This window comes from Homo sapiens, chromosome 6, assembly GCF_000001405.40.
Source record: "Homo sapiens chromosome 6, GRCh38.p14 Primary Assembly".
Taxonomy (NCBI): domain Eukaryota; kingdom Metazoa; phylum Chordata; class Mammalia; order Primates; family Hominidae; genus Homo; species Homo sapiens.
The window spans coordinates 118146445-118158521 of NC_000006.12; the positions used below are offsets into that span (position 1 = coordinate 118146445).

A 12077-nucleotide genomic window follows, 5' to 3' on the forward strand; every position below is an offset into this window, starting at 1 on the left:
GACAGTAGGGCATTCCCTTTCCTGTGATGACATGCCAACTTCTCAAATTATGTCTCTCTCATTATTTAAAAAACAAAGACTCAAAACTATGTTCTCTAGAAAACATTTTCAGATTGGCTTTGTCCACTTTTAAAAACTAAAATTATCCCAACTTCCAGCAGTTTCATATAAATTTATTTGACTACATGGTTATTTTTATATTCTCTGTTTAGTTTAATTTATTTATGTTTCATGCTCCCTCTAAACTTCCTGGAGGCAGGGCCAAGCATTCCTTTCTCATAACCTGCACCCAGCAGGACTTGGCAAATGCTACTGACTGATTTGTTTCTCTGTGGCTAATCCCAAAACCCACAGAGTTTGCACATAATAAATGAATAAACATTGCGGGTAACTTGGCTACCAAAGAGTTTAATCAAATTCATAAAAGGAATAGATTTTAGGATCAAAGATACAAATTCCAAGAGTTGATGTGCACAGATCAGTATCTTCTAAAAGTAAGTCTGAATTGTGGAGTAGAAGAAAACATAAAGCTCATTATGTTAGCCTGAGTCCTGTAGAAGACAGATAGAGGCTTGTATGTTCTACTTTATTAAGGCATACAATCGCAAGGAGCAGGATTGAGGAAGGCAAAGAGGGAGACACAGCACAGGGGTGCAGGGTACACACTGAGAACCTTGTGAGTCAGGGCCATCTTCAGTATAAATGACTGCTTCACAGTGCATTCTGTGTAGAGGAAAAAGAGGGAAGAATGTGTCTGTCTGCTAGAGTTTCCTACTGGTCAGGTGCAGTAATTCCCCTGCACGTTCCAGTTGCTCATGAGTGGGCATGAAACAGGTTCCTGCAGGATCTGGTCCTCTGTATCAACTGAGAATCCCCAGGAAAGAAAGCATGAGATACACAGCCTGGGCATCGGAAACAGGGGACACAGGGCCCCTGGGTTGTGCCCACATAATGTTGGTTATAGCCTATGCAGAGTTGGTCATGGCAGCGACCACTGGAGCTGGAGTAAGTGCTGAGAGACACTGGAGATAGGTGAGATCAAAAGGATGAATATTGAAAGGGAGCATAAGAAGTGTCATACACACGTGTCAATCATCATATCCTTATTTTACATGAAGAAGCCCAAACCCAGAGTGAGAGATATGCGCAATCACGGAGCTTAGTTAGTGGAACTCATGGAGCCAGGGGCTTCCAGCTCCCTGTTTGGTGCCTTTTCAGTTTTCTATGTTACTTCTGTAAACATAAAACATACAGCATCCATGAGCATCTGTGACCGCTCCTCTCACACCAGTCTCAAAAATCTCCTACACTTAGTGCCAGTAAAACATTATGTTTAAAGCACTTCCTTGCGTCTTACTTGGTTTCTCTTATCTAATTAGAAAAACAAAATGGATACCATGGAGCCAAAGAACAGATTCAAGTCCATGAATGCAGAATGTGAGGCAAAGATACCCAATTAATGATAAATTTCTGGAGGTGTATATTTTCTTCTTGCCTAATAATCTTCTTACATATAAGTCTAATTAATGCTTGAATGTGATAAAAACCTTTCAGCAAAGAGCTTATAGAAGTCAATGGCCTAACTTCTGCAAACAAGAATCTTGTCAAAGAACATGGTAGAACACGCTTCTCCCACTTTCAAGGGGTATTGATTTTAGTCCAGGCAGTATACTTAGGTGTTCATTATGTATGCATGTTTGAATTCATATGCTGACTCAGATCTGACATGACTTTCCTGAGAATAGTTATCAGAATGAAGATGTCGCCACAGAAAAGTTGATGTGCTGTAATTCAAGATGATAACATAATTGTTTCACTTTTGTGGCAAAGAATTACAAGCAATATGATTATGTAACACTATGTTGAAATTCTTCATACCTTTTAAAAGAATGTATTCTTATAACTAAGAGAAGAAAACAAGATTAAGTTTATGCTTTATTTTAAATCTTACTATTTTGAATATCTAATTTGTAACACAAGTTTACTCTCAAAATTCTAAAGTCTGTTTCTTTAATAGAACGAAGTGCCGGTGGTAATGGTTATGTCAGTCTTTATGAATACAAGCTCTATTATAACAGGTATTTAGCTTCCAGCAGCACTATTTTTCTTGAGACTCATGCATTTTTCATTGTCTAGTCATTCTGAGTTTAAAGTGGATAGGATGTCCTTTTAAATGCATAAACAAAGAAGATGAAAATGTGTATCATAGTCTCCTCTCCATTTCTGCCACTAAAATTATAGGAACTATGTTTCTTATGTTAGAATGCATCTGGTGTGTTATTCCATATACTACATGAATAACCTACAGCTCGCTGTACAAAATTCCAACCGGCACCATATTTAGCATCATTTTTGCAAGATAGCACCTTACCAGGCTTGTTCTGAAAAGCACCAGAAAATAGCTTATTAATCTCAATGTCTAACTGGCAGATGGAATACAGTAAAAAACAACATGATTTTTGTCTTTCAGAGCTAGTAGTTTTTCAAGGTAAGATAAGCAACCATCTTCCAAATCTAAGACTTTGCCATTTTCATTTACAGATATTTGTTTACTCATAAATTTGTTCACTCTTTCATCCTGTGTTTATTGAGCATCTGTTTTCTTTCTGTCCAGCAGTCCTCAAGGCACTAGAAACAGAAAAGAATAAAATACATTCCCTTCTTTTCAGGAGCTTATGAGCTACACAATATGGTGAGTGCCAATAGTGATAGGGAAATGCAGGTGAGGACACTTGCCTCACCCTTGGGAGCAGGGAGTGGCTAAACAGAGGGTCTCTGAAGAAGACATTGTCATAAGGCCATGAGGAGTTAGGTGAAAGGACCACAGATCTACCATAGCAGTTATCTAAGGAAAAAATATTTAGAAGGGATAGTGCAACAGTAAATGAACTAAAGAGATCCTAAGGCAGAGAGAGCAGGGAGAACATTTTTGTACAACACATCGCCAAATGGATTTGTCCTGTGCTAATAGAGAACGAAAGAGAATTTGATCAGGGCAAGATGGCAGGGCAGGGGGTATAGTTAGCAGAGTGTCAACATTTAGGCATTTAGGTTTATTTCTATTTTTATTTACTGATTTATTTGGTGACTCCAGGAACTAGCTCAGATGTGCAGGCTGCAATAGCTACAATATCTAGCTCCCTGCAGTAGGAAAAAGACTCATGAACTAATCTGATAAAAGGTTCCTTTCATTCCTTCCGGTTTTACATGTCGTGCTCATTAGCATGACGAATAAAACCATAATTTGTATTCTCCATCAAATCACACCAGCAGCAGCTGAATGACATGGCCATTAATTAAAAGCAGAAATTGAATACAGCAGACTTGATGTTTTGTTTGACTGAAGAAACAAGAATAGATTTGTATTGACCTCTTGTTGAAAGGCACACATTACAGATATCTTGATGGAAGAGTTTTCATCAGAGGGTCAGTCCCAAACTTGTTTTTGTCTTTAACTCCTCTAGAGTATTTCTGGAAACCAACCACTTAGGTTTCTAGCTGTAAGTTCTTGCACTCAATCAGGACACACAGTATATTTTTGCCACCAAAATAGTAGTATAGCATAATAATTAAAAAGTTGAGATTTGGAACCACATAACCTAGTTTGCATCCAAACTCTTCCCCTTGTTAGCTCTGTGACCTTGGGCTGCTTGCGTAACTTCTCTAAGCATCAGTTAACTTATCTATAAAATCGAACAGTAATAATAGCTGCCTTATAAGGTTTTTATGAGGATTAACTAAGATAGTATGTGTAAGTCTAAGCTCATGGCTTGGCACATAGTAAGAACTTACTAAATATGAATTATTATTGTTGTTTTAGCTTAATCGGCTCCATTTTGTACTAAGTTATTTGAGGACCTAGCTCCCAAATCTTAGTTTTGTAGCTCCCCAGTGACAAGGACTGTGTCTTGTTCATCTTTGCATGCATAGTGTGTGACATATAGAATGCTATTTTATACTATATTGGCGCATATACATAAGAAAGACTAAAATTGTATTCTCTTATATAACTAATCTGTCATTTATTTGTGGTGTGATTTTGTTCAGGAAAGGCATAGCATATTGCCAAAGTTTTTGAACACTATAGTTGTAATTTATAGAACTGCAGGAATCCATGTCATAGCAATAATTTTCACCCTTCTTGTCCCAAAGAGATGCACTCCATACACAGCATTCTCCAGGAGACATACTCAGCATCAAGAACAACTCTTATATATTAGTTGTAACTCTATTCATATTTCTTCCATTTAGGAATGTAAGTTATTATGCAAATAATCAAGAATGACCCAGTGATAGGATAAGCTAAATTAATTTTTAAATCATTTTAAACATTATTATTTTAACTATCATTGATATTATGTTACATGGTGACTATATCAAATTCCTTCCATGAATTTTTTGAATTCTTCAAAATTCTGCAAAGTCAACATCTCTAATTTCTCACCATTTCCTTTTCACTTAGTCACTACTAGCTATCCCCTCCATGAAACTCTCTGTTCTCTTGGTTTTCATGACACCAATACGGCTGTTATTCTCCACTCAACCAAAACTCTTAAAGGATGGCAGTGACTACAAATTATGTCTTGTCAGTCCTCATTCTCTCTACCCTCTAAGCAACATTCAGTATTACAACTATTCAATCCATGAATGTCTCTTTCCTTTTGGTTTCCTTAACACCAAAAAACTCTCTTGCTCTTCCTCTTAGCCTTCTAACCACTTCCGACTCCAGTGATGTGCTTCTTCTCCCTCACCCACCTCCAACCTTGGGATTCTGCAGATATTTCCCAAGGCTCTCTTACTTTCTCTCCTACTCTCCCTTTCTTAGGGATATTATCCATTTCCAGTATTTTCACCATCACTTTTATGAGTATAACCTCTGCATATTTATCTCCTGGTTGACCTCCCTATCCCACTCTGATCCCATGCTACTAATGCTGCTGGATCATTTGGAAGTTCATCTGGCAACTCAAGTTCAATATACCTAAAATATGTATTGTTTCTCCACTAAAACCAGCTCCTTATCATTATTTTTGTCAGTAGATATTATACTTATCTTAGGCAGTCTTAAAAACCTTTAATTTTTTATAAGAGGTGGGGTCTTGCTCTGTAGCCCAGGCTTGAGTACAATGGTGGAATCATGGCTCACTTGCAGCCTTGACCTCCCAAGCCCAAGCAATCCTCCTGCCTCAGTCTCCCAAGGAGCTGGGACTACAGACATGCACCACCACACCTGGGTAATTTTTTTAATTTTTTGTAGAAATGAAGACTCACTATGTTGTCCAGGCTGGTCTTGAACTCCTGGATTCAAGTGATCTTCCTGCCTTAGCCTCCCAGAGTGTTGGGATTACAGGTGTGAGCCACTGCGCCTGGCCTTTAAAATCGTTTGAGTTAATTCTGGTACTCCTTTTTACCTCTACCTTTCTTTCTTTCTTTTTTTTATTAATCACCCCCTTTATTTCAATAAACTGTTTCTTGTTGCCTACGCCTCCTCTGCACTGTCTTTGAATCCCTCTATTTTCTACTTCCTCTGAATGGTACTGCCTGGCTGTAGACACAGTGAAGAACATGGTACAGGCATCACAGTCCAGCTGAGGCGAGAGGTATAAAGGCATTAGTTTCAATACAATGAGATAGAAGTAACAAAGAGATGCATTCCAGGGAAGAGAAGACGGAACACTTCTCAAAGGGAGTGACATAGAAGCCAAATCTTGAAAGATACATAAGAATCAGACTGGCAAAGGCGCAATGAACTTTTTGGAAATAATAACTTATACAAGGGAATGCAGACACAGAAGACCATATCTCACTGCTGAAGTGCAAGTAGCTCTGTAAGGCTGAAAGTGCTTCATGGAGGAGTAATAAGGGAAACAGAGGGTCAGGTTCCAGAGGTAGTGGGAATGGAGGGAGAGCGTTTAGGACATGATTTCAGTTATTTGTTGGTCATGTAACAAACCACTGTACATCTACATGCCCTAAAACAGCCTCATGTATTATTTCTTACAGTTCTTCAATTAGGCAGCAATCTTTCGGGGTGGTTCATCTCTGCTCCATGGTGGCATATGTTGGCATGGTTTGACTGGGGCAGGAGAATCCAGAAGCCTCACTCACTTGTCAGGACAATGATGCCTGGCTGGATTTCTCTTTTTTCCACATGGTCTCTCAAACCTGAAGTACAGGGAAGCTATCTTTTATGAGGGCAGAAAATGGAAGCTGTAGAGCTTTGTAAGGCTTAGGCCCAGAAGTCACATGACATCCCCTCCCCCACATTCTGTTGGTCAGAGCAAGTCACAAGACCAGCCCAGCTTCCAGAAAAGGAGAAAGAGACCCCTGCCTCCCTTTGGCAGAGCAGCAGGAATGTAAAGGCTATGTCAGCAGGCATCTTTGCAGATGTTCTACCACAGACCTTGTAGATCTCTGCATTCTGTGGGGAACTATTGTAAGATTTTAAGCAGCATACTGACATTTTAAACATGGATGTTTAAAAGTATGTCTTTGGCTTCTTTATAGAGATTGAATTCAGAGGTCAGGAGCCAGTACCTGGAAATAGGTTAACCTCAGAAAATTCTTCTCTGCATGCCCACATGCCTTACCACAACTTTTCCTCCTCATGGAAGCAGATGGAATGAACAAAATATAGCTGATGTTTTTTCTTTTTTAAAGCAAAATACAACCAAAGTACTGCCCAGGACTCTGTGCTCGTTCCAGAAAAATGGACTCACATCTGTTATGGGGGAGTAAATATGTAACACCGCAAATCCTTTGCCTAAAGCTTTTTGTTTAGAAATCATACTGCATTACAAACTAGAGTGATATAGTTAACAATAATATATTGTATATTCCAAAAGCGCTAGAAGATTTTGAATGTGCTCACCACAAAGAAATGATAAATTTTTGATCTGACAATTGTTCTGCTTTGATTATTATACAATGTGAACATGTATCGAAACATGAGACTGTACTGCATAAATATGTACCATTATTATGTGTCAATTAAAAATAAAATAAAACTTTCAATGAAAGAAATACTACTGCTTGCTTCTATTATATTACTGTTTCTATAAATAAACCAGACAAGTCAGATGTGACTTTCAGGGAGGGCAGAAATCTACTTTGTATTTGCAGGGGCTTTTTCTGTGTAAAAGCATGTGGGTGTATGTGACCATAAAGCTTGCGAGGGCATTTTATTTGTATGCAAAATTAACGCCTTGACCCTTGCCTGTAGTCCCTGCTACAGAGGTCTATAGGGGCAGCGCCTATGAAAAAAGCCACAAAAAATAAGTTGGCATAATTTGAAAGGTTGTATTACACCACCACAGTACTGAATCTCTTTCACGAATAGCAGTTTTAGTGTGTAGGCAATTGTAACTTGAGCAGAAGATGGCAGACACCTAATGCTCATCAAAGCTTCCTAGAGCAAACTGAGTTCTAGAGTCTGGGAATGGACAGCAGATGGTCCTTCTGGTTTTCAGGGATTTGTGTAGCCCCTTCACCTAGGGGTTTCTGGATCTGGGATTTCAATCTATAAAGAAAAGAGTCTCCCTTTATTGGTACGAGAACCTGAGGATGAGGTGGGAATATGGTCCCTCCTAGTCAGTGTTCAGGTACTTTCTCACCATCACTAAATATTTCATTAATGCTATGGTGAGCATGAAGATGATGTTCTTTCCCCACCCCCTTCCCACTACCATTGGCACCCAGAGGTCAGTAGCTAGAAGCCAGGCTCTTTCGGAGAGATTTGGTCTCAAATTCCAGTTTTGCCACTTCCTAGTTACATGACTGTGAGCAAACTCCTTAACCACTCTAAGTTTTGGTTTCCTCCTCTGTAAAATCTCAGTAATCATTGCACCTTCCTCGAGGGATTGCTTTGATGGACTAAAGGGAATAATATTTAATTGCACTTAATCCAGTGCATGCTACCAGTGCTCAAAAAGTTTTAATTGCTATTGTTTTAATGGGCTTCCTGCTGACCTTTGCTGTGTTTTTTTTCCTTTATTTCTCAGGGAGATGTTAATCTCTGTGGCCCTAGGCCAGGTGTTATCCCTCCTTATTTGTGGAATTGGCTTGACTAGCAAGTATCTGTCAGAAGATTTCCACGCCAACACACCAGTCTTCCAGAGTTTCCTCAATTACATTCTTCTCTTCTTGGTCTATACCACCACACTAGCCGTCAGACAAGGTAAGCTCACAAAAGCACCAGGAATATAACTTTTACAAACACCTAAAAAAAAGATGAGCCATGACCAGATAACGTTTTGTCACTTAAGCATCAGTTAAGATCATTGAAAACCCCAGATCTTACTTTTCTATTTTGCAGTAATACAGTAAACAAAATGAGTGAATAAATCACAAAGAAAATTAATCATATGAATTCAGCAAGAAGTGGGAACTGCATGTATAGGCAAAACTGTACAATTGCTCACTTTTTGAATCCCCGTTAACATTACTTCTACCCTCTCAGTGGAATTAAATGAGTTTTTCCCTGGAACTTGGAACAGGCCTGATGCAGATATTCTAAATAATGCTTGCTCTGAGAAATCCAAGGGAATTGCAGACAAATATATGTTCTGTGGGAAAGTGACACAAGAAAGATACAAATTGTAAACACAGACAACTCTATTAATAACATCACAGAAAAAGAAAAAAATAAAACTACCACAAATGGTCAGATGAGATGTGAAATTATTTTAAACTTGAAATAATTAAAGAAATAAAACAAGTCCTCCAAGAGCCAATGCAAGAAAACCTTTTTTTAAGGGGCAGTTGCAGTTGAAAAACCTCAGGGTGCATCCCTGGAGGGGATGATTCAGAGTCATGTGATATGCCACTGAATCCAGTGTGCTGTGGTTTGAATGTCCCCTCCAAAACTCATGTTGAAATGTAATTGCCACTGTGACAATATTAAGAGGTGGGAGTATTAAGTAAGATGTTACTAGGCCGTGAGGGCTTCACCGTCCTGAATAGATTAATGCCATTATCATGGGATTAATGCCATCAGCTAAATGTGGGTTTGGTCCCCCTCTTGCCCTCTCCTGCTCTCTCATGTGTGCTCTTGTGCCTGTCTGCCATGTGAGGATGCCGCGAAAAGGCCCTCACCAGATGTGAGCCCTTTAACCTTGGACTTCCCAGCCTCCAGAACCATAAGAAATAAATCTCTGTTCTTTATAAATTGTGCAGTCTCAGGTATTATGGAATATGTTATTCATTATAGCAGCACAAAATGGTTAGCACAAGGTGTAAGCACTTTTATCTATGGCTCAGAAATAGCCATCAATTTTCCCCAAAATAGTAGCTGTCAGCTGTAAAATGTGCATTGAAAAAAATCATTAATACATTTGGAGACCATTATATACATTAATAATAGATAAGGACACATGTATAGCTGTGTACATCAATTTCAATAGTCACACTTTTAGGAAACATGTATAAGACTATCAGTATTTAATTTTTACATTTATTTATTTGGATTACTGTCTAGAATAATAATGCTTAATTATAATGATTTGACCAATACTGGACTTCATCTCATAGGAGGAATAAATATGAACAAGTTGAGACTGAATTCCAGTTTAATTTTAATTTGTTTAAAGTATTGTAGAAGCTAATTTTATTTACTTCTCAAAAATTGGTGCTATCAATGCTTGTTTTTTAAAGTTTAACATCAATAGTCATTATTATTTTAAGAATAAAATAGGCCACCAAAGTTATTGACGTTGAATCTCAGCTATGTTTCCTGAGTGCGATTTGGAAGCTAATAGTTTTGAATGATGTAAATGTGTTATCTAAGTGTCAAAAAAAAAAAGCATGAAACTGCGTAAAATATTTGAAGAAATTTATTCTGAGCCAAATATGAGTGACCGTGGCCCCTAACACAGCCCTCAGGAGGGCCTGAGAACATGTGCCCAAGGTGGTCGGGGTGCAGCTTGGTTTTATATTTAATACATTTTAGGGAGACATGAGACTTCAATCATTTAAGAAATACATTGGTTTGCAAATACCGCATGTTCTCACTCATAGGTGGGAATTGAACAATGAGATCACTTGGACACAGGGTGGGGAACATCACACACCAGGGCCTGTTGGGGGTTGAGGGGCTGGGGGAGGGATAGCATTAGGGAAAATATCTAATGTAAATGACGAGTTGATGGCAAACCAACATGGCACATGTATACCTATGTATCAAACCTGCACGTTGTGCACATGTACCCTAGAACTGAAAGTATAATAAAAAATAAAATAAAATAAAATAAAATAAAATAAGAAATACATTGGTTTGGTCCAGTAAGGCAGGACAACTTGAAGCGCAGGGCTTCCAGCTTATAGGTGGATTTAAAAATTTTCTGAAACTATACTGCAAGATGGTACACTGTATTTAGTCTTTGAGTTCTTGTACATCTCACTTTTCAGGAATCCAGGGATTTAACAAAAACTTGAATCAGGAAAAAAAAAGTTAAGCCATTCTAAAGGGCAGGGAGAATTATTTCAACCATACCAATAATTTATAGGTAGAGGCTAAAAAAGCTTAGAAGATGAAATGTAGTAAAATGCCTAGAGTTAATAATTACAGTACCATCTATTGAGCCTTTATAATGCACTAGCCACTATGTATGTAAATTATCCTTTTTATTCCATCAATCCAAGGAAATAGGTATGATTATCCAAAATTTTATAAATGAGAATACCAAGGCTCTGACAGCCCAGGAAACTGCTTGAGGATATAGGAGAGCAAGGAGTAGAGGCCCATCCAACGCAGGGCTGTGAGGGCAGTGTGGCTTCAGGGCCCACCCTGCCACTCCTTGTGAGGTGCAGGGAAGGCAGGAGGAGGGAGCGGAGACCTTTTTGAAAAAAAGGAGAGGTTTTTTTCCTTTGAATTTCAAAACCCTGAATAGGAAACCAGCCCTCAGTGTAAGATGTAGTGAGATACCACTGTGCGGTCAGGAGGACTGTATTAGTCAGGGTTCTCTAGAGCCGCAGGACTAATAGGATAGATGTATATATGAAAGGGAGTTTATTAAGGAGTATTGACTCATGATCACAAGGTGAAGTCCCACAATAGGCCGTCTGCAAGCTGAGGAGCAAGGAAGCCAGTCCGAATCCCAAAACTTCAAAAGTAGGGAAGCCAACAGTGCAGCCTTCAGTCTGTGGCCGAAGTCCCCAAAGCTCCTGGCAAATCACTGGTATAAGTCCAAGAATCCAAAAGCTGAAGAACTTGAAGTCCGATGTTTGAGGGCAGGGAGCATCCAGCATGGGAGAAAGATAGAGGCCAGAAAACTCAGCCAGTCTAGTCCTTCCACGTTACTCTGCCTGCTTTTATCCCAGCTGTGCTGGCAGCTGATTAGATGGTGCCCACCCAGATTGAGGGTGGGTCTGAGTCTCCCAGTTTACTGACTCAAATGTTAACCTCCTTTGGCAACACCCTCAAAGACACACCCAGGAACAATACTTTCTATCCTTCAATCCAATCAAGTTGACATTCATTAACCATCACAAGGATGTCATAGACGATTTAGGGAGAGGGTTGGAGGTGGACAGGAAGAAAGACCAATGGAAAGAGGCTAAGGACTAGGAGCAGCAAGGAATTTGGAGGCTCTTTAGAAAGGAAAGGCTGAAGAGGGCTAGGGAAATTCTGACTACCGATACCAGTCTGTGATGGAGAGAATCAATTTCTAAAATACCCTCTGGAGATTTTTACCATTGCCTCAGATCCTCACTAAGTTTGCTGGCATGTCTTCATTTGGGTGTTTCCTCAGAATGATTATTTGTTTTAAGCTTCATCTTTAGAAGTTTTAATAGGCTGGCATTAAGCTAACATCTGGAAATGAACATAATAATTACATTAATTTTCTATAGGCTGATTCAGTACTATGTTCTGGAGACATACTAATCTTTCTAGTCAGGCACCTGAAAATTTGGGAAAGAATGAACAACAAAGAGGGAAGGATGGAAAGTGTGGTGTGTGCAAGGGAGAGTCTCATAGTCACAAGTTCTCCTTTCTCACCGCTCCGAGAGCTGCAAGTTAGGTCTGAGCCACGTGTTGCCACTCTGGGCCACCTATCAGCATGAAGTTAGACTCAGAAATA

General features: G+C 39.1%; 1 protein-coding gene and 1 long non-coding RNA gene across 3 annotated transcripts in view; one reads left to right on the plus strand and one right to left on the minus strand.

The window, feature by feature from the left end:
* Positions 1-12077, plus strand: part of SLC35F1 (solute carrier family 35 member F1) — a 410408-nt gene that overhangs the window by 239181 nt on the left and 159150 nt on the right. For both annotated transcript variants that reach the window (NM_001029858.4, NM_001415931.1), the window contains exon 2: positions 8001-8176. In NM_001029858.4, the coding sequence (NP_001025029.2) occupies positions 8001-8176 (176 nt within the window). The remainder of the gene's footprint in view (positions 1-8000; positions 8177-12077) is intronic.
* The window catches only part of LOC107986523 (uncharacterized), a 48119-nt gene that overhangs the window by 15257 nt on the left and 20785 nt on the right, over positions 1-12077 (minus strand). The gene's annotated exons all lie outside the window — the stretch shown is intronic.